At 38.2% G+C, this 24,250-nt stretch overlaps 1 protein-coding gene across 64 annotated transcripts in view; it reads left to right on the top strand.

Moving 5' to 3' along the window:
• Positions 1-24,250, top strand: part of INPP4B (inositol polyphosphate-4-phosphatase type II B) — an 823,376-nt gene that overhangs the window by 580,148 nt on the left and 218,978 nt on the right. For 62 of the 64 annotated variants that reach the window (NR_169617.1, NR_169615.1, NR_169599.1 and 59 more), the window contains one exon: positions 5,824-5,896. Coding sequence is in view for 53 of the 64 variants with exons in the window: in NM_003866.3 (NP_003857.2) it covers positions 5,824-5,896 (73 nt within the window). In the remaining 11 variants the exon portion in view is untranslated. Of the gene's footprint in view, positions 1-3,716; positions 3,791-5,823; positions 5,897-24,250 lie in introns of all 64 variants that reach the window. The other 2 variants (NR_169624.1, NM_001385452.1) reach the window with 1 other exon arrangement.

Genomic DNA, 24,250 nt, shown 5'->3' with positions numbered 1-24,250 from the left:
GTTACTCTCCCTTCTCCTTGGAATATATCCCACATTATAAAAATATTTTAAGAAGGCCCAAGGTTTAAATCAGGTTATTAACTAATATCAGGGCCATGGTAAAGTTTTGGAGCAGACTTTCTTGAGTTTGTGCATTCGAAACCCTGTCTTAGGGCTGGATCCCTTCATTCCATCCTTGTTTGTTTTGTAGTTCTATATAAGACTCATCTTTGTCACTATCACATGAACACTTGCATCAAGATCAAGGAAGGAGGATTCGGAAGCTAAACTGGGGACACAGAGCAGAAATAGGCAGATAATTATGCCTAGACCTGTAACTGTGTACCAGGAGACCAGTAGCAGAAACACTTCCCATTTCAAAGTAGAGCTCCTTTCTCTGATTCTAAATATATTACCAGCCACTTTTCCACTTTCCTCAAAACTAGCCCACCTTTTGACTCCAGACTATGTCACTATAGTATAAGGTAGTGGAAATTAAATTATACTCTTTTCATAAATGGAGAACTTGATACCTAGAGATATGCCCCCACCCAAATCCTACATAGTGTTTCTGGCTTAGGAACATGAACTTTAAAAAGACTTAACTGAGCTGTTCCAGAAATAGGAGGTGGCAGTGGCAATACACACCGTGTGTGAGTCATAAGCTGACTAAAATGGTAAACACATCAAACATTTTGGCATCAGCTCTGCCCTGTCTGGATTATTTGTAAACCTTGACCTTTTTTGCAAATTTTTGATAAAGTAACTGTAAACTCTCTTAGCAATCTTTAAGAATATCGATGTTTGAGATATATAGTAAGGCCCAACATGCATGATATTTATTGTGTAAATAACTTTATCTCAGCGTTTTTCAAAGTGTGGTTAGAATCACCTAGAGTGCTTTTTAGAACTGCAAATGCATGGACCCTTGTACATCTGCTAAATAAAAATCCATAGAAAATCAATTAATATTATCTGTTACTAACGGTGATTTAAGACATGAATGACTATCATTATGGAAAGAGAAAGTAACTGAAATAGAAGTTATTCCTAAAATAACATTGCTTTCACTGGTTTGCATGAGCTAGGGACAAAGGAATGAAACTTCTATTAGCACCATAGTCATGTGCCATGAAAGTGACACATGTTATCTAATGTAGACGTAAATAAGAGAGTGATACTGATATTGCTCAGCTTGGGCTGTCATGACAAAATACCATAAACTGTATGGCTTAAACAACAGGAATTTATTTTCTCACGGTTCTGGAAGCTAGGAAGTCCCAGATCAAGGTGCCAGCCTGTTCAGTTCCTGGTGAGGGCTTTTTACTTGGCTTGCAGATGGCTGCCTTCTTGCTACCTTCTCAGATGGTCTATCTTCTGTGTATAAGCAGGAAGGGGAAGTGGGGGAGGGAGAGAGAGGGAGAGAGAGGGAGAGAGAGAGAGAGAAAGAGAGAGGAAAGGAGAAAGGAAGGGAGAGAGGGAGTGTTTTGGTATCTTCTCCTTTTCTCGTAAGAATACCAGCCCTGTAGTATTAAGACCCCATCTTTATGACCTCTTTTAATCTTAGTTACCTCCATAATATAGGCCCTTATCTCCAAATATGGTCATATTGGAGGCTGGGGCCTCAACATATGAACTTTGGAAGACACAGTTCAGTCCATAACAGTACCTTTATATAAAATACTACATTTTAATCTTGAGTCTTAAATTCCAGAGCATGGAATAAAATATAAGTGAAAATCCAAACTCTTTCTTCTCACATACGTTTGCTTTCTTTTTCTTGTTTCCATAAATCATATTATGAACACATATTTATTATCAAGGGAAGATTGCTCAGAGGTCATTTACCATATTAGATTGTTTCAAACTTCAATATATACACACATAGAAATAGAAGATAAAGCATTAAAACCACATAGTAGTAGAAAGAAAAAATTACAAGAGAAATACTAAAATTGTCTTTTTTCGAAACTAGCATAGTAGATGAATGTTGCATTATGTATCCAAAACATTTTTTCTTTTATTGGAGTCACCTTTGACTCCTTTCTGCCTCTCATAAACTCACAGTTAGTATGTCAGCAAATCCTGTTGACTGCACCTTTTAATTGAAACCAGAATTTAACAACTTTTGGCCCTTTCACTGCTACCAATGTTGTCTATCACCTGGATGTTTACAGTAATGACTTAAAAGTCTCCCTGATTTTTTCCTTTTCTCTCCCTGATCTGCCACCACATGTCACTATATCAGTCTATTTTCAACAGAGCAACAAAGCGACCCTATTTAAATGAAACTTAGGACATGTCTTTCCTCTCACAGCTTCTCAACTCTCTGAAAGTATAAACTCAAAGCCCTTCAGTGACCAAACACAGTCTTACAGGAGTCTCCCCGTCCCAACCCTGGGAACTTCATTACTTCTTTGACCTCCTCCCCAGCTCCTATTTTTTGCTCACTACAGTCCAGTCACATTGTCTTCCTTGTTGTTCCTGAACATTTCAGGTACGTTGCCAACTCAAGGCCCCTGCACTTAGTTTTCCCACCTACCTTTGAAGTGTTTTCCCTAGGTAATTTTGTGGTTCACTTATTTCCTTCTGGTCTTTATGCAGAAATGTCACCTCCTCACTGAAGCCTTTCCTGCAACCCTATCTAAGATTGCAGTGTCTACCTCAGAGCTTTCTATCGCCTTTCTCTGCATTATTTTTGTGATTAGTACTTGTCATTGTTCAATGTTATATATATATATATATATATATATATATATATATATATATTTTACGAATTTATCTCATTTGTGGTCTATTTTCCTCACTAATATTAAACTTCATGAGACAAAACTATTTGTCTATTTTCGTTCCCTCCTTTATCCCCAGTGCCTGAAACAGTCTAAGTCAGAAATAAATGAATAAATTAAGTCAATTTTACTTTAAAGAAGTAAAGCTAAAAATTATCTCATAGAAGACAGAATATGTGGCTGCGTATAACTCCATAACAATTGGTGGATCAATAAATAAGATGGCATGTAGTGAAGAGTGTAGGACTGTGGAAGAAAAATAAAGAAACTTACAGAACAACTTTTGAAGTAGTCAAAGACAATGCTATTAGAGAAAGGATAAGTAGGAACCAAATAATCAAATCAGGTGAAAAATGAGAAAACCCAATAAGTAACAGCCAAAAGGATTGCTTGAGACAGGAAAAGTCCTCCCATTGAGCACAGCCCTTCTTTGCCTGCAGCAGAGATGATCAGCTTCCTGTCAGGATTAAAGCATTGTTAGGAGCATCCTCCAGTGAGGCACGGGAGAGGCTTAGTTTAGTTCAGCCCCTGCCTTACCTCTTCTATTAGTTTAAGATCTGTGTTGTATTGGAATGCAGCGTAGCACAAGTGACCAAAGGGACTGTGATTTCTACAAAAGGAAAGAAAATGTCTTACTGATGATACCAGCAAAAATAGTGTAAGTGGAATACAAATACATCCCCTTCTGAAAACCTGCTTTTCTCAGGCCATGTTGCTCCTGTTCTTTGAAGTACTGTTTTCATTGTAGTTTATCAGCAGTGCTCAGAGGAAAGGTGGAGTCTTTGAGTGGCTAGTGACCAGTCTCAGAAGGTCTTATCCCTTTATTTCCTCCAAATATAAAATTGAAAATATTATAATAAGCCTTAACTTATAGAGAATATTTGTAGGCAAATAATCATCATTCATTCATCAAAAATATCACCTACTAAGTTCTAAGCATTCTACTAGGTTCTGGGGATTCAGCAATGAACCAGAGAGACACAGATGGTACCTTCAGGGGAAGAAAACAATTAAAATAACAGGTAATATATTATTGATTGGTGCTATATGCTGTATAGAAAAAAAGATAGGGTAAAAGGAATAGGTGGTGCTTAGGCATGGTTGTTTATACTAGATGTTGGTTAAGGAAAGATTCACTGATAATGTGATGTTTGAGCTGAAACTTTCAGGAAATAAGGGAGTGAGATGGGGATATATGTCAGGAATAAGAATTCTAGGTAACATCAATAGCAAGAGCAAAGGCCCCAAGGTGGCAGCATGCTTTTTGTGTTGAAAGAGCAGCAAATAGGCCAGTGTGACTGGAGCTAAGGGGTAGAGGAGTAGTGGTTGGAGTTGAGGGCTGAGATTCATGGGGCAGGGAGAAACAGATCGTGTACTCCCCTGTAAGCCATAAGACTCTGAGCTAAATAAGTAGTTATTATTCATTGTAGAGTAGAACACTGATATGATGAATATAACGTTGATGAAAAATTATTTTAACAGCCCTGTATATGCTAAAAGAATTAGAGGTAATATTGAAAATAGGAAAAATTAGAATTTTATGTATTTCTAGTATCATTGAACATCATTCTAGTGATTTAGGAAGTGCATTTCCAAAATTGCTGTGGATTAGAGGAAGTGCACCTCTGACTTCGGGGTGGTCAGAAATGCGATTTAGAGAACATCAAATTTTAAGAGCTGTTTTCAGTCATTCATTCTTTCAGTCAACTAGGACCTCAATAAAGAAATTATGAAAGCACTTTTGTACCCCATCAAAAAATTTACTGAGTAATGTGATGAATGTTATGATTGTGGAATAAGCAGTAGACTATAAGAAAACAGAAAGTAACATTTAAATCAGTGTTTTGAATTCTTTGTCTTCTTCCTCAAAATGTTTGAGGAACGTATACATTCCATTGTTAAAAGTGACCTCAGTGTACATGATTCTTAAAGAGGGCCAGTGCCTGGGGAAGGAGAGGTGGAGGGAGACAGAACAGTGGGGAAATAGCTCAAGCAAGGCTGATAGAGCCTTGGAGAAGCTTGTCTGAGCCCTCAGAGCCCCTTGAGCAGAGCCATGCAAAACTTACAGAAGGATGGCTGGTTCCCTTAGACCTCATCACCAAAAGAACTTTCTGCAATTTTTGTGTGTATGTTTGCTTTCTTCTGTTTGCATTTACTTGTTTATATTGGGTATATTTACTCTAAAAATTCACTATCCTCTTCCCTGTCCCCACTCACACCCCCATATTTTTTTCTAAAGATAAAAGGAAACTCATTTGAAGACACAAATGCTAGAGTCTTCCTGTGTGAAAATAGATTTCGTCCAACTCCTGGGGCCAGAAGAATTTTGTTTCCTCTTTCCATTACAGTTTCATAGGAAGCTGAGGGAGAGCACCACATTTAGTGAGGAATTGTTTTGGACATTCTCTCCCATTGTGGTTCATTCACTAGGAACATGTCCATGTGCTCTTCTGTATCTCTTCTCTCTTTCTGTTGAGAAATTGACAGTACTGTAAAGGTCAGGAGCTTAATCAATTCATTATGGATTCCAGAGATCAGCTTATTTATAAATGATCCTCATACTTTTTGAGCAAGTGCTTGCGTTGTTTTGCTGGAGGCAAAATAATCTTTTGCCCTATATAACTAGTGGCGTCAACATATTTTGTCTTTTATTTAAAGTTGCAATTACTTAAACTCTAGAAAATAATTTGCTTTCTATTGATCTGAAATTAGCTCAGGTGAAAGAAATACAAAATGATTCAGCTTGTCAAATATGATTTACTGTGCTAGGAACATATCTCTAGCATGTTGGGGATAATCATTTTTCTCATTTTAACTTTTTCCCTGAGTACCCTCTACAATTATCTAATATAAGCATATTCTGTATACATTTAAGTAAATCACAAGTTAAACACTCTTTGTAGTAAAGATAGAGCTAGAAATAGTTTTTAAAAAGTATTTTATTCAAAACTTTTTGAAACCATGTACATAGCCTTATGTTTTGCAAATAAAATAATATCATTCCTTATTTTGATTGTTCTCAAAATTTTTTTTTTTTTTTTACATTTTTTCCTAGTGTGCCCTGGTATGTGAATGTACAGCCCCGGAAAGTGTGAGCGGAAAAGATAACTTACCTTTTTTGAATTCAGGTATGTAACTCAGTTTTAAATACTTAGTTTCATGCAAAAATGAATTTTAATTTTATGTAAAATCAACACTGAACCAGCATTCTCACAGTTGTTTGTGAAGCTTAGTAAATACACTGGGAAATCATAAGGGGCCAGCAGAATGCGGGGAGATTGTACAATTCCACAGGAAAGATAAATGTACTAGCTATATTGCAAAACAAATATGGTCAGCCAGGCGCGGTGGCTCACGTCCGTAATCCCAGCACTTTGGGAGGCCGAGGCGGGCGGATCATGAGGTCAAGAGATTGAGACCATCCTGGCTGACATGGTGAAACCCCGTCTCTACTAAAAATACCAAAAATTAGCTGGGCATGGTGGCCCGTGCCTGTAGTCCCAGCAATTCTGAAGGCTGAGGCAAGAGAATCGCTTGAACCCGAGGGGCGGAGGTTGCAGGGAGCCGAGATCGCGCCACTGCACTCCAGCTTGGAGACAGAGTGATACTCCATCTCAAAAAACAAATGAACAAAAAACAAATATCATGTGCTGCATAATGACATTTGGTCAATGCCAACTACATATATGACAGTGGTCTTATCAGATTATAACACAGCTAAAATATTTCTATTGCCTAGTAACATCTTGATGATCCTGACCCCATGTGGGCCTAGGCTAAGGTGTGTGTTTTTGTCTCAGTTTTTAACAAAAATGTTTAAAAAGTAAAAAAAAAGAAAATTTAAAAAGTAAAAATAAGAAAAAGTTATAGAATAAGGAAACAAGAAAAAATACTTTTGTATAGCTGTACAATGTATTTGTGTTTTCAGCTAAATGTTTTAAAAGTGTCAAAAAGTTAAGAAAATTTAAAAGTGTATAAAGTAAAAAAGTTATAGTAATCCTAGGTTAATTTATTATTATTATTATTTTATATTTTTTTCTTGATTTGATTTTAGTTTTATAACAATATAAACAATTTATAACAATTATAACAATTTTTTCCACATTGGCCTGTTTTTAATCCTGTACCTAGAAAGAGTACAAAATACACACTTAAAAAATTGAAATTCAACACTTACCCACGCGCCCTTCTCCATCTCTTCTACCCCTCTTGTTGATTGTGGTATCTGATCTTTTTTTTTTCTTTTTTTTTATTTATTTATTATTATTATACTTTAAGTTTTAGGGTACATGTGCACAACGTGCAGGTTAGTTACATATGTATACATGTGCCATGCTGGTGCACTGCACCCACTAAGTCGTCATTTAGCATTAGGTATATCTCCCAATGCTATCCCTCCCCCCTCCCCCCACCCCACAACAGTCCCCAGAGTGTGATATTCCCCTTCCTGTGTCCATGTGATCTCATTGTTCAATTCCCACCTATGAGTGAGAATATGCGGTGTTTGGTTTTTTGCTCTTGTGATAATTTACTGAGAATGATGATTTCCAATTTCATGCATGTCCCTACAAAGGACATGAACTCATCATTTTTTATGGCTGCATAGTATTCCATGGTGTATATGTGCCACATTTTCTTAATCCAGTCTATCACTGTTGGACATTTGGGTTGGTTCCAAGTCTTTGCTATTGTGAATAATGCCACAATAAATATATGTGTGCATGTGTCTTTATAGCAGCATGATTTATAGTCCTTTGGGTATATACCCAGTAATGGGATGGCTGGGTCAAATGGTGTTTCTAGTTCTAGATCCCTGAGGAATTGCCACACTGACTTCCACAATGATTGAACTAGTTTACAGTCCCACCAACAGTGTAAAAGTGTTCCTATTTCTCCACGTCCTCTCCAACACCTGTTGTTTCCTGACTTTTTAATGATCGCCATTCTAACTGGTGTGAGATGGTATCTCATTGTGGTTTTGATTTGCATTTCTCTGATGACCAGTGATGGTGAGCATTTTTTCATGTGTTTTTTGGCTGCATAAATGTCTTCTTTTGAGAAGCGTCTGTTCATGTTCTTTGCCCACTTTTTGATGGGGTTGTTTGTTGTTTTCTTGTAAATTTGTTTGAGTTCATTGTAGATTCTGGATATTAGTCCTTTGTCAGATGAGTAGGTTGCGAAAATTTTCTCCCATTTTGTAGGTTGCCTGTTCACTCTGATGGTAGTTTCTTTTGCTGTGCAGAAGCTCTTTAGTTTAATTAGATCCCATTTGTCAATTTTGGCTTTTGTTGCCATTGCTTTTGGTGTTTTAGACATGAAGTCCTTGCCCATGCCTGTGTCCTGAATGGTAATGCCTAGGTTTTCTTCTAGGGTTTTTATGGTTTTAGGTGTAACGTTTAAGTCTTTAATCCATCTTGAATTGATTTTTGTATAAGGTATAAGGAAGGGATCCAGTTTCAGCTTTCTACATATGGCTAGCCAGTTTTCCCAGCACCATTTATTAAATAGGGAATCCTTTCCCCATTGCTTGTTTTTCTCAGGTTTGTCAAAGATCAGATAGTTGTAGATTTGCGGCGTTATTTCTGAGGGCTCTGTTCTGTTCCATTGATCTATATCTCTGTTTTGGTACCAGTACCATGCTGTTTTGGTTACTGTAGCCTTGTAGTATAGTCTGAAGTCAGGTAGTGCGATGTCTCCAGCTTTGTTCTTTTGGCTTAGGATTGACTTGGCAATGCAGGCTCTTTTTTGGTTCCATATGAACTTGAAAGTAGTTTTTTCCAATTCTGTGAAGAAAGTCATTTGTAGCTTGATGGGGATGGCATTGAATCTATAAATTACCTTGGGCAGTATGGCCATTTTCACGATATTGATTCATCCTACCCATGAGCATAGAATGTTCTATTTGTTTGTATCCTCTTTTATTTCCTTGAGCAGTGGTTTGTAGTTCTCCTTGAAGAAATCCTTCACATCCCTTGTAAGTTGGATTCCTAGGTATTTGATTCTCTTTGAAGCAATTGTGAATGGGAGTTCACTCATGATTTGGCTCTCTGTTTGTCTGTTATTGGTGTATAAGAATGCTTGTGATTTTTGTACATTGATTTTGTATCCTGAGACTTTGCTGAAGTTGCTTATCAGCTTAAGGAGATTTTGGGCTGAGACCATGGGGTTTTCTAGATATACAATCATGTCATCTGCAAACAGGGACAATCTGACTTCCTCTTTTCCTAATTGAATACCCTTTATTTCCTTCTCCTGCCTAATTGCCCTGGCCAGAACTTCCAACACTATGTTGAATAGGAGTGGTGAGAGAGGGCATCCCGTCTAGTGCCAGTTTTCAAAGGGAATGCATCCAGTTTTTGCCCATTCAGTATGATATTGGCTGTGGGTTTGTCACAGATAGCTCTTATTATTTTGAGATACGTCCCGTCAATACCTAATTTATTGAGAGTTTTTAGCATGAAGGGTTGTTGAATTTTGTCAAAGGCCTTTTCTGCATCTATTGAGATAATCATGTGGTTTTTGTCTTTGGTTCTGTTTATATGCTGGATTACATTTATTGATTTGCGTATATTGAACCAGCCTTGCATCCTAGGGATGAAACCCACTTGATCATGGTGGATAAGCTTTTTGATGTGCTGCTGGATTCGGTTTGTCAGTATTTCATTGAGGATTTTTGCATCAAAGTTCATCAGAGATATTGGTCTAAAATTCTCTTTTTTGGTTGTGTCTCTGCCCAGCTTTGGTATCAGGATGATGCTGGCCTCATAAAATGAGTTAGGGAGGATTCCCTCTTTTTCTATTGATTGGAACAGTTTCAGAAGGAATGGTACCAGTTCCTCCTTGTACATCTGGTAGAATTCGGCTGTGAATCCATCTGGTCCTGGACTCTTTTTGGTTGGTAAGCTATTGATTATTGCCACAATTTCAGAGCCTGTTATTGGTCTATTCAGAGATTCAACTTCTTCCTGGTTTAGTCTTGGGAGAGTGTATGTGTTGAGCAATTTATCCATTTCTTCTAGATTTTCTAGTTTATTTGCGTAGAGGTGTTTGTAGTATTCTCTGATGGTAGTTTGTATTTCTGTGGGATCGGTGGTGATATCCCCTTTGTCATTTTTTATTGCATCTATTTGATTCTTCTCTCTTTTTTTCTTTATTAGTCTTGCTAGTGGTCTATCAGTTTTGTTGATCCTTTCCAAAAACCAGCTCCTGGATTCATTAATTTTTTGAAGGGTTTTTTGTGTCTCTATTTCCTTCAGTTCTGCTCTGATTTTAGTTATTTCTTGCCTTCTGCTAGCTTTTGAATGTGTTTGCTCTTGCTTTTCTAGTTCTTTTAATTGTGATGTTAGGGTGTCGATTTTAGATCTTTCCTGCTTTCTCTTGTGGGCATTTAGTGCTATAAATTTCCCTCTACACACTGCTTTGAATGCATCCCAGAGATTCTGGTATGTTGTGTCTTTGTTCTCGTTGGTTTCAAAGAACATCTTTATTTCTGCCTTCATTTCGTTATGTACCCAGTAGTCATTCAGGAGCAGGTTGTTCAGTTTCCATGTAGTTGAGCAGTTTTGAGTGAGATTCTTAATCCTGAGTTCTAGTTTGATTGCACTGTGGTCTTAGAGACAGTTTGTTATAATTTCTGTTACTTTACATTTGCTGAGGAGAGCTTTACTTCCAACTATGTGGTCAATTTTGGAATAGGTGTGGTGTGGTGCTGAAAAAAATGTATATTCTGTTGATTTGGGGTGGAGAGTTCTGTAGATGTCTATTAGGTCTGCTTGGTGCAGAGCTGAGTTCAATTCCTGGGTATCCTTGTTGACTTTCTGTCTCGTTGATCTGTCTAATGTTGACAGTGGGGAGTTAAAGTCTCCCATTATTAATGTGTGGGAGTCGAAGTCTCTTTGTAGGTCACTCAGGACTTACTTTATGAATCTGGGTGCTCCTGTATTGGGTATATATATATTTAGGATAGTTAGCTCTTCTTGATGAATTGATCCATTTACCATTATGTAATGGCCTTCTTTGTCGCTTTTGGTCTTTGTTGGTTTAAAGTCTGTTTTATCAGAAACTAGGATTGCAACCCCTGCCTTTTTTGTTTTCCATTTGCTTGGTAGATCTTCCTCCATCCTTTTATTTTGAGCCTATGTGTGTGTCTGCATGTGAGATGGGTTTCCTGAATACAGCACACTGATGGGTCTTGACTCTTTATCCAATTTGCCAGTGTGTGTCTTTTAACTGGAGCATTTAGTCCATTTTCATTTAAAGTTAATATTGTTATGTGTGAATTTGATCCTGTCATTATGATATTAGCTGGTTATTTTGCTCCTTAGTTGATGCAGTTCTTTCCTAGTCTCGATGGTCTTTACATTTTGGCATGATTTTGCAGCGGCTGGTACCGGTTGTTCCTTTCCATGTTTAGCGCTTCCTTCAGGAGCTCTTTTAGGGCAGGCCTGGTGGTGACAAAATCTCTCAGCATTTTCTTGTCTGTAAAGTATTTTATTTCTCCTTCACTTATGAAGCTTAGTTTGGCTGGATATGAAATTCTGGGTTGAAAATTCTTTTCTTTAAGAATGTTGAATATTGGCCCCCACTCTCTTCTGGCTTGTAGAGTTTCTGCCGAGAGAGCCGCTGTTAGTCTGATGGGCTTCCCTTTGAGGGTAACCCGACCTTTCTCTCTGGCTGCCCTTAACATTTTTTCCTTCATTTCCACTTTGGTGAATCTGACAATTATGTGTCTTGGAGTTGCTCTTCTCGAGGAGTATCTTTGTGGCATTCTCTGTATTTCCTGAATCTGAATGTTGGCCTGCCTTGCTAGATTGGGGAAGTTCTCCTGGATAATATCCTGCAGAGTGTTTTCCACCTTGGTTCCATTCTCCTCGTCACTTTCAGGTACACCAATCAGACGTAGATTTGGTCTTTTCACATAGTCCCATATTTCTTGGAGGCTTTGTTCATTTCTTTTTATTCTTTTTTCTCTAAACTTCCCTTCTCACTTCATTTCATTCATTTCATCTTCCATCGCTGATACCCTTTCTTCCAGTTGATCTCCTCGGCTCATGAGGCTTCTGCATTCTTCACAGAGTTCTCGAGCCTTGGCTTTCAGCTCCATCAGCTCCTTTAAGCACTTCTCTGTATTGGTTATTCTAGTTATACATTCTTCTAAATTTTTTTCAAAGTTTTCAACTTCTTTGCCTTTGGTTTGAATGTCCTCCCGTAGCTCGGAGTAATTTGATCATCTGAAGCCTTCTTCTCTCAGCTCGTGAAAGTCATTCTCCATCCAGCTTTGTTCCGTTGCTGGTGAGGAACTGCATTCCTTTGGAGGAGGAGAGGCGCTCTGCTTTTTAGAGTTTCCAGTTTTTCTGCTCTGCTTTTTCCCCATCTTTGTGGTTTTATCTACTTTTGGTCTTTGAAGATGGTGATGTACCAATGGGTTTTTGGTGTGGATGTCCTTTCTGTTTGTTAGTTTTCCTTCTAACAGACAGGACCCTCAGCTGCAGGTCTGTTGGAGTACCGGCCGTGTGAGGTGTCAGTCTGCCCCTGCTGGGGGGTGCCTCCCAGTTAGGCTGCTCGGGGGTCAGGGGTCAGGGACCCACTAGAGGAGGCAGTCTGCCCGTTCTCAGATCTCTAGCTGCGAGCTGGGAGAACCACTGCTCTCTTCAAAGCTGTCAGACAGGGACATTTAAGTCTGAAGAGGTTACTGCTGTCTTTCTGTTTGTCTGTGCCCTGCCCCCAGAGGTGGAGCCTACAGAGGCAGGCAGGCCTCCTTGAGCTGTGGTGGGCTCCACCGAGTTCGAGCTTCCTGGCTGCTTTGTTTACCTAAGCAAGCCTGGGCAATGGTGGGTGCCCCTCCCCCAGCCTCACTGCCACCTTGCAGTTTGATCTCAGACCGCTGTGCTAGCAGTCAGCCAGACTCCGTGGGCGTAGGACCCTCCGAGCCAGGTGCGGGATATAATCTCCTGGTGCGCCGTTTTTTAAGCCCGTCGGAAAAGCACAGTATTCGGGTGGGATTGACCCGATTTTCCAGGTGCCGTCTGTCACCCCTTTCTTTGACTAGGAAAGGGAACTCCCTGACCCCTTGCACTTCCCGAGTGAGGCAATGCCTCGCCCTGCTTCGGCTCGCACATGGTGCGCGCACCCACTGACCTGCGCCCACTCTCTGGCACTCCCTAGTGAGATGAACCCGGTACCTCAGATGGAAATGCGGAAATCACCTGTCTTCTGCATCGCTCACACTGGGAGCTGTAGACCGGAGCTGTTCCTATTCGGCCATCTTGGCTCCTCTGTTAATTTATTATTGAAGAAAGAAAAGATTTTAAAAATGTTGTAGCCTATGCATACACTGTTTACCAAGTCTACGGTAGTATGTGGTAATGTTCTAGGACTTCACATTCACCCACCACTCACTCACTGACTCATCCAGAGCACCTTCTTCTAGCTCTGAAGGCTTCTTTCATGGTAAATGCCCTTTACAGGTGTACCATTTTTAATCTTTTATACCATATTTTTACTGTACCTTTTCTATGTTTAGATATGTTTAGGTACATAAATACTTACCATTGTGGTGTGGTTACCTACATATTTATGCACAGTAACATACTATACAGATTGTAGCCTAGGAGCAATAGGCGATACCCTGGAGCGTAGGTGTGTAGTAGGCTCTACCATCTAGGTATCTGTAAGTGTACTCTATGATGTTTGCACCATGACGAAATTGCCTAATGACTACTTTCTCAGAACATAACCCCTTGTTAAACTACACGACTATAAATTTCTTTTAGCTATTGGATCATGTATTATCCAAAACAAGAAACACTAGAAGACAGTGTGAAGCTCTTGTTTAGTTTGACTTCCTAATTATATAACTCATAAAGCTGTTAAAAGAATAGATATATGGATTCAGTAGGAAAACTTAATAATCACATTTGTACATTCTTGGGTATGTAGGTGTGTACTGCATTATTCACATAATATGTTTGCATTTCAACAAGGTATTAAACTGTATGCTAAATGTATTTATGAATAAAATTGAGACATATAGTACTGTTAAAATATATGTGATAATATGAATATGTAAAATTATGGAACCAATTTTTAAATGATAATGTAAATTAAATGACTGTTAGTAAATAATGACTACTGGCCGGGCGCGGTGGCTCACGCCTGTAATCCCAGCACTTTGGGAGGCCGAGGCGGGCGGATCACGAGGTCAGGAGATCGAGACCATCCTGGCTAACACGGCGAAACCCCGTCTCTACTAAAAATACAAAAAATTAGCCGGGCGTGGTAGCGGGCGCCTGTAGTCCCAGCTACTCGGGAGGCTGAGGCAGGAGAATGGCGTGAACCCGGGAGGCGGAGCTTGCAGTGAGCCGAGATCGCGCCACTGCACTCCAGCCTGGGCGACAGAGCGAGACTCCGTCTCAAAAAAAAAAAAAAAAAAAATGACTACTATAGTGACAGGCAATATGCTAATACCTTATGTACCTTGTCTTAGATAATCCTCTGACATGTGCTATGAGGAAGGTACTATCATTATCCATATTTCACAAATGAGGAAGTCTTCAAGATCACCTATGCGGTAAACAGTGGGTCCAGAATTTAAATCCACTTTGATTCCAAGGCCTTTGCTCATAAGCGATAGGCTGTGGTTTTACTAAGAAGGCATTAATCAACAAATTGGTGTCACAGTAAAATACCTTACTCTTTTTTCTAGCCCTGCCATGTTGTACATTTAAGCAGTGACATAGCATGATAATCAGGTTAATGAATAATACACAACTTCAGCAGCTTACAAATACATAACCCCTAAATGATTAGCAGTTTTCTCTTGCAAGAGGCAGCCAACAATAGGGAATGGGGAAGGAGAGGCATCCCTTTGGCTCTGTTTATACACACAGATAAACAAAATACAATTTAATTGAGCAATATGTTTAAAAACATCAAGTCCACTTACACAGAATGAAGAATTAACCCAAGGAAGAACAGGTGTTTCTCAGCCTACAGCCAAATGAGATGGGATTTTTCTTATTTTTAATGAAAGATATAATATTGTGGGGTATGTACTAAATAGCGTTTTGAAGGGTCTACCCAGACAGCTATTAATAAATCAACCATACATCCTAAAAGCATCTGAGTTATTAGTGCTCTTAAAATATTTAAAGTATTATCAAAGGGTCCTCCTCACATTTGTTTTTCACCTGAAAGTTGACTAAACCTTTAGTTATTTACTTTAATATGTTCATAAACCATAATTTATGTCATTCATTAAATGTTAATTTTTAAAAATAAATTTGAGTGGGATATTAAGTTCATGTTAAATACAGCTTGATTCAGGTTATCACCAAAATCATCTATACTATAATTATAAGACAAATTTTAATGACTGACTTATGTGAACCCCGTAACTTTTTTATATGCACAAAAAGAAGTGGCATTTTGTCATGCTTATTGGTTAAGTATAAATTTCAAGGAGAAAGAGAAACATTACTTTAAAATCAAGCAAACATATTACTTATGGAAGAAGAGACACAGAGATCATATTGAAAAATAGATCTTTACCTCTCCATAGTTGTGCCATAAACTCTGTAAGGCATAAGTGTTGGAAGCCATACTAATTCTTTCAGATTACCAGGGTATTTGTTTGTTACATATAAATTGTAATATGACAAAAACTACTGACATAAAATTGATAGGAGCAGCTGCATTCTGCAATTTAAATATACTTTGTGGAGTGAAAGATGATTAATTATTGCTTTTTTCCTTTTATGGAGGTGACAGTTTGGTGGTGGCAGTCCACTTAGTTCTGAATATATTTCTAAATGTCTGTAGTCCAGTCAGCCTGGAGGACCACCCAGAACCTAGGATATTTGCCACAGATATTTTCTTGGAGTCATCTTTTATCAGGGGAAGATGAGACTAAATGAAAGTCAAATGTTATAAAGACTGGATTTTTTAAAACTTTATAAAAATACAACTAAGAGCTATTCATAAAATGTTTCTGTTCAAAATATAAAGGTGCATTGTGCAGATATAGAATATGTATATGACTTTGGCCTGTGCACTTTAATCTTTTGTTCTATTTATTTATCTATCTATCTAAACTCAGCAACTTTGAAATTAATCCATTCTGTACCCATGTGGTATTTCTTTAATCTGTAGGCAAAGTAAGCTATTGACATTCTTCTCAAGTCTTTGTATTAATGTCTTAAATGGAGCTTTTCAGTCTCCAGTGAGTTATGAAGTACTTACTGAGTGGGAGAGAATGTCATATCTTATATCAGTTCGTCACTATTCTATTTACATCTCTAGCGATTTTGGTATAAATCAGGAAGTTCACTTATCTGTTGTAAAACTAAGAAGAAAAAGACTTTCCCCTAAGGCCTCACCCTTTTCATGCCCTTGCAAGTTGAATGTGTATGTTGGGAATCTGGTGAATTTAGGGTGGAAGGAGAGAGAGAATAAGGAAGAGGTGGGACAGAATTTACAATTCCATAAGAAAGATATATAAGTACCTTAATTACATGGAAATACAAACAAGGCACACTAGAAGACACAGTATGTAATAAACATGTGAAGCTCTTACTTAGTTTGACTTTCTAACAATATAACTCATAAAATTAAGTTGTTAAAAAGCAGACTTATCTCTAATTATTTGCTTATTTGTTTAAGTAAAATAGTACTAAGAAAACTTTAAACTATTTTCTATTGGAGGTGAGGTGGAAATGGGAGTAGGGGAAGTGAATCTTGACTGTATAGAAGGGGAGATGGTAGGTCTTTCACATAGTCATGGAGTTTGGTGCCTAAGTCACACTAACTGAGGCACCTTGTTTGCAGCACAGCGATGATAAATGGGCTCTGGTAGTATTAATACAAGAACACTGGATGCACTGACAGAAGAAATGATTTTAAAGCCTAGGTTTTTCAACCAGCCGTTTCATCCTGAAAGACAGTTCAGCTTCTTTGCCTTTCAATTATTTTAAAATGACCAAATTAACCTAAACAGTTTTTGACTTCCTTTTTGGCTCTCAAATGTTTGAAGTTGATGTCGCATAGGTTAGTGTTTGCATTGTTCTCCTTCCTTTTAGAAACACTTCATGAAAGTATTCATTTTCATCAGTTTTATATGGAGGAATATTTGGCATTTATAGTTTTCTTTCTCAGAGGTTATTATTTACAGTTAAAAAGTCTGACCAGTGATAGAACATTAAAAAAAGTTTTAAAGACAATTCTGTGTAAATTTCTTAATTCTCTCTTTTTTTGGTAAAATTATTATATAATTCTACAGAGTACTTCAGCCCATAGACCCTCAAATTACCATGCCAAATCTAAGAAGCTAGTAGACCCTGTGAGAAAGTTTCCCATTATGGTCCCATTTAGAGTGAGTTTCCCCCACTCAGCAAGCATTAGATGTGATACAGTATTTTTGTATACCTAACAACCATGATTTCCATGACTGTGTGAGTTGGAATCCAAACAAAGATGAGGAGACTGTGCTGCTATTAGTCATAAATATGTGCAGTTTGCCCTCCTATGTGGAGAACTTACCGGTATTTGTACATCTTGCTTCACAGCTTTGATTCTTTTTCACCAAATAGGGTTAAACCACCTACTATTGTTGTTTTGAAGAAGATACTAGATTGTAAGCTACTTAGGAGGAAGGAACATTGCTTTTTTATTTGCAGTCTATATCATTTTATGTTAACAACCTCTGGGCACTTAAATGTTATAAATTGAATTCTTCATTATTTAGCATCTACCCTCTCCCATTGATCTAGAAATCTCCAATCAGTTAGAATTTGGTGAACAATTTATTGGTAGAAAAAAAATTCATTATAAGGAATAAAAATTTCCAGTCCTGCTGAATGTGCCCCTGAGATTTCAAGAGAACCAAGCAAGAGAGTTGATTTCCCCACATGGCCCTTTAAATAATGGTGACTCCTAAGCCTAAACACATACACATACACACACACACACACATACACACACACACACACACACATACAGAGAGTGAGAGAGAAATCCCAGCACTTTGGGAGGCTGAAGTGGACAGGTCACCTGGGGTCAGAAGTTCAAGACCAGTCTGGCCAACATGGTGAAACCCCGTCTCTACTAAAAATACAAAAAATTAGCTGGGTGTGGTAATGGGCACCTGTAATCCCAGCTACTTGGGAGGCTGAGGCAGGAGAATCACTTGAACCCGGGAGGCGGAGGTTGCAGTGAGCCAAGATCATGCCACTGGACTCCAGCCTGGGCAACAACAGTGAAACTCCATCTCAAAAAAAAAAAAAAAAAAGAGAGAGAGAGAGAGAGAAACACAGAGACAGAGAGAGGGAAAGGAGGGGGAGGAACGGGTGCTTTTCTTTCTTAAATCTCATGGGGAAAAGGCTTCAAAAATTGATAGTCTTGGAGTCTGGATATAGATGTAATCCATTCACTGATACCCTCTTAAAGGGAAAAATGCACAGAGCTAACCTGATCTTGGGATGGGGGTGGTCAGCAACCAGTGAAGCATCATTCTGGTGATGTACAATATAAACATATCCTGGGAGTGGAAGGTGCCTAGAGTAGATGGGAGCACAGGAGCCTGGAGGGCAGGGGCAGGAGGGGTGATGCCTTCTTTCCCTCCTGAGCACACAGAGGCTCTTCCATACAAGAATACAATAATGCTTGTTAAATGGTAAACAACAGGTGTATCTTATCTGAATTTACACTTCAGATAACAGAAAACTCAATTATTTTTCTTTCTTTGAGAAAGATTTTCAAATATAATTATTTAGGTTTGGAATAAAATATTACTTTCCTTAAGTCTCATTAAAAATTTTGTACTGCCTCTGACTAAAGGAGAGAGAGACACAAAAAACCCTTCCAAAAGTCAGTGAATCCAGGAGCTGGTTTTTTGAAAAGATTAACAAAATAGATGGACCACCAGCCAGACTAATAAAGAACAAAAGAGAGGAGAATCAAATAGGCACAATAAAAATGATAAAGGGGAGATCACCACTGACCCCACAGAAATACAAACTACCATCAGAGAATACTGTAAATACCACTATGCAAATAAACTAGAAGATCTAAAAGAAATGGATAAATTCCTGGGCACATACACCCTCCCAAGACTAAACCAGAAGGATTGAGTCCCTGAATAGATCAATAACAAGTTTTGAAATTGAGGCAGTAATTAATAGCCTACCAACCAAAAAAAGACCAGGATCAGTCTGATTCATAGCCAAATTCTACCAGAGATACAAGGAGGAACTGATACCATTCCTTCTGAAACGATTCCAAACAATAGAAAAAGAGGACTCCTCCCTAACTCATTTTATGAGGCCAGCATCATCCTGATACAAAAACCTGGCAGAGACACAACAAAAAAAGAAAATTTCAGGCCAATATCCCTGATGAATATTGATGCGAAAATCCTCAATAAAATGCTGGCAAACTGAATCCAGCAGCATATCAAAAAGCTTATCCACCACGGTCAAGTCAGCTTCATCCTTGGGATGCGAGGCTGGTTCAACATACACAAATCAATAAACATAATCGATCACATAAACAGAACCAATGACAAAAACCACATGATTATCACAATAGATGCAGAGAAGGCCTTTGACAAAATTCACCCCTTCATGCTAAAAACTCTCAATAAAGTAGGTATTGATGGAACATATTTCGAAATAATAGGAGCTGTTTATGACAAACCCACAGCCAATATCACACTGAATGGGCAAAAGCTGGAAGCATTCCCTTTGAAAACTGGCACAAGTCAAGGATGCCCTCTCTCACCCCTCCTATTCAACATAGTAATGGAATTTCTGGCCAGGGCAATCAGGCAAGAGAAGGAAATAAAGGGTATTCAGATAGGAAGAGAGGAAGTCGAATTGTCTCTGTTTGCAGATGACATGATTCTATATTTAGAAAACCCCATCGACTTAGCCCCAAATCTCCTTAAGCTGATAAGCAACTTCAGCAAAGTCTCAGAATACAAAATCAATGTTCAAAAATCACAGGCATTCCTATACACCAATAATAGACAAACAGAGAGCCAAATCTTGAGTGAACTCCTATTCACAATTGCTACAAAGAGAATAAAATACCTAGGAATACAATTTACAGGGGATATGAAGGACCTCTGCAAGGAGAACTACAAACCACTGCTGAAGGAAATAAGAAAGGACACAAACAAATGGAAAAACATTCTATGTTCATGGATAGGAAGAATTAATATCATGAAAGTGGCTATACTGCCCAAAGTAATTTGTAGATTCAATGCTATCCCCATCAAGTTACCATTGACTTTCTTCACAGAAATAGAAAAAACTACTTTAAATTTCATATGGAACAAAAAGAAAAAATAGCCCATATAGCAAAGGCAATCCTAAGCAAAAAGAACAAAGCTGGAGGCATCATGCTACCTGACTTCAAACTATACTCCAAGGCTACAGTAATCAAAACAGCATGGTACTGGTACCAAAACACATATATGTATATATATATGTGTGTGTATACATACACATATATATATGTGTGTATACACACACACATATATATAATGTGTGTATACACACACACATATATATAATGTGTGTATACACACACGTGTGTGTACATACACACATGTGTGTATACATACACATATATATGTATACATACACACATGTGTGTATACATACACATATATATGTATACATACACATATATGTATACATACACATATATATGTATACATACACATATATGTATACATACACATATATATGTATACATACACATATATGTATACATACACATATATATGTATACATACACATATATGTATACATACACATATATATGTATACATACACACATATATATATACACACATATACATATATATGAACAGAATAGAGGCCTCAGAAATAACGCCACACATCTAGAACCATCTGATCTTTGACAAACCTGACACAAACAAGCAAAGAGGAGCAGGTACCATTCCTTCTGGAACTATTGCAAACAACAGAAAAAGAGGGACTCCTCCATAACTCATTTTATGAGGCCAGCATCATCCTGATACAAAAACCTGGCCGAGACACAACAAAAAAAGAAAATTTCAGGCCAATATCCCTGACGAACATCGATGCGAAAATCCTCAATAAAATACTGGCAATGGGGAAAGGATTCCCTATTTAATAAATGTGTTGTGAAAACTGGCTAGCCGTATGTAGAAAACTGAAACTGGACCTCTTCCTTACAACTTATTCAAAAAGTTAACTCAAGATGGATTAAAGACTTAAACATAAGACCTAAAACCATAAAAACCTTGGAAGAAAATCTAGGCAATACCATTCAGGACATAGGCATGGGCAAAGACTTCATGACTAAAACACCAAAAGCACTGGGAACCAAAGCCAAAATTGACAAATGGGATCTAATTAAAGAGCTTCTGCACAGAAAAGAAACTATCATCAGAGTGAACAGGCAACCTAAAGAATGGGAGAAAATTTTTGCAATCTATTCATCTGACAAAGGGCTAATATCCAGAATCTACAAGGAACTTAAAACAAATTTACAAGAAAAAAAACCCATCCAAAAGTGGGCAAAGAATATGAACAGACACTTCTGAAAAGAAGACATTTATGTGGCCCACAGGCATATGAAAAATAACTCATCATCACTGGTCATTAGAGAAATGTAAATCAAAATCACAATGAGATACCATCTCATGCCAGTTAGAATGGCAATCATTAAAAAGTTAGGAAACAGATGCTGGAGAGGATGTGGAGAAATAGGAACGCTTTTACACTGTTGGTAGGAGTGTAAGTTAGTTCAACCATTTTAGAAGACAGTGTGGAGATTCCTCAAGGATCTAGAACCAGAAATACCATTTGACCCAGCAATCCCATTATTGAGTATATACCCAAAGGATTATAAATCATTCTACTATAAAGACACATGCACACGTATGTTTATTGCAGCACTGTTCACAATAGCAAAGACTTGGAATCAACCCAAATGCCGATCAGTGATAGACTGGATGAAGAAAATGTGGGCTGGGCATGGTGGCTCACACCTGTAATCCCAGCACTTTGGGAGGCTGAGGCAGGTGCATCATGAGGTCAGGAGTTCAAGACCATCCTGGCTAACACAGTGAAACCCTGCCTCTACTAAAAATACAAAAATATAATTAGCCGGGCATGATGGTGGGCGCCTGTAGTCCCAGCTACTCGGGAGGCTGAGGCAGGAGAATGACGTGAACCTAGGAGGCGGAGCTTGCAGTGAGCCGAGATCGCACCACTGCACTCCAGAGTGGGGAAGAGAGCAAGACTCTGTCTCAAAAAAAAAAAAAAAAAAAAAAAAAAAAAAGGCACATATACACCATGGAATACCATGTAGCCATAAAAAAAAGATGAGTTCATGTCCTTTGCAGGGACATCGATGAAGCTGGAAACCATTATTCTCAGCAAACTAACACAGGGACGGAAAACCAAACACCGCATGTTCTCACTCGTAAGTGGGAGTTGAACAGTGAGAACACATGGACAGAGGGAGGGAAACATCACACACTGGGACCTGTCAGGGGGTGGGGGGCTAGGGGAGGGATAGCATTAAGAGAAATACCTAATGTAGATGACTTGTTGATGGGTGCAGCAAACCACCATGGAACGTGTATACCTATGTATCAAACCTGCATGTTCTGCACATGTATCCCAGAACTTAAAGTATAATAATAAATAATAATAATAATAATAATAAAGTTTGTTCTACCATGTAGCACCATAGATTTTAATTGACTTTCACAATACCACACAATTGAGCTAAATATTGAGATAACTTTCTCCTCATTACCACCCCCATCCAAACAATGCATGATTCAGAATATTTTAAGATTCTCAAAACTAGTTCCTGCTATACTCATTTTGAGTCCTGATGAATTCCAGCCAAAAGCAAATGCCAAATTTTTTCCTATTTTTCCTTTCATTAATGTGTTACTAAATTCACTACTTTGTCAAATATCAGATGATATTCATTTTATAACAACAAAAATATATTTTCTCCGTGTGATTTAAATGGATGTTGCCTCAGTGTTTGTAAGTCTCTGGTATGTAAAATTTAGGGCCATCTTGGCTTATAACATTGGCCCTTGATCCTTTTCACTTCCTCCCTAGATTTATTTGTCCTTTGCTGTTTTAACAAACGTGATGCAATCCACTGGCTTTGCTCTATTGAAATTTCCATATGTTTTCATTACTGTGTGCTAATACAGGATTTAACTTAAGATGTTAAGTAGCTTCAAATGGAAGAGTAAATTTGACTATCTAATGATGAATAGAACCATCTCTTAGATGACTTTAAATGCTTCAACTATCTTTCCTAAGTCCATTTATCTCCTCCTCTTCCTCCTTTAGGTAAACTAGGAGAAAAACAATATAGGCAAAACAGTGATAATAGTCAAAAAGTTTACATTTTGTGGAAGAACATAAAGGGGTCTTTCAGTTACGGTTAATCTTTTCCCTGATTCTGATCCCTGTGCTCTCTCTTGCATTGGGGCTTTTAATTATGCTCTTCCGTCTTGCATTTTCCCCTCTCAATTTCCACAATTGGTGGTGTACCTGCTCTCTTCATGGGGAGAGTAATGACGAGAAACATCTGAGTTGCCAGATCTAAGGCTCACTTCTGTGGAATGTTTATATTTACTGGGCATTATGGTAAGTGCAGGAGGAAAAAAAGAGAACAAGAAAAACCACACAGCTCTCTCCACCACTCCCCCCACACATAAAGCTCATATTCCCATGGGAGACATGGACCACTAAACAGACTACTGTAGTACAGTTGGTAAGAACCAAGATAGAGACGGGGATGTGATGTAAAAAGGAGAGACATCTATATAGGGAGGGAGGTAGTAGAAACTGAAGAAGGCTTCCTGGAGGAGGCGATAGCTGAGCTAAGTTTATAGGATGATTACATGTGGTTAGGAAAGTGGGGGGTTCCTGTGATTTGCATGGAATGCCTTGATCAGAGGCATACTGGCAAGAAACAACTTGATGAGTGGAATAGAGTATGGGTTGTCTTGGTTTTTTCAGCATGAAATAGAAGCTAGCTTCTAGCTTTACAAGTTGTATCCTTCACTCACTGAAACAGAATGAACAGAACTAAGGCCAATCCTTTTTCTAACCACCCAAGATCTCAAATCCAAATTCTACAGATGAAATTCACCAATTGTCACCAACTGCAGACAAATAATACGTTTGTGTTTTATTATGACATCTGCAATAGTTTTTCTTATTTTTGGCCAGGAGCTTGTGGGTTTGGCTGCATTCAGGGTATCTGTTTGCTGTATTTTCTGAGCTCCTCTCATGTTTTTCTTACCCTCACTTTTCTGAAGCCATGCTAAGGATAGTGTTTTTGTAAAATTTCTGTTTAGATTTCTCAGTGCTCATCCGATCTTTAAAAGAGCCAAGTTTCATTTATTATGTATTTAAGATATCTTCAAATACAAATGAGGATGTGTCAGT

The sequence above is a fragment of the Homo sapiens genome, chromosome 4 (assembly GCF_000001405.40).
Source record: "Homo sapiens chromosome 4, GRCh38.p14 Primary Assembly".
Classification (NCBI taxonomy): Eukaryota; Metazoa; Chordata; class Mammalia; order Primates; family Hominidae; genus Homo; species Homo sapiens.
Note: the sequence above shows the minus strand (reverse complement) of the source record. Positions and strands in the feature narration are given on the sequence as shown.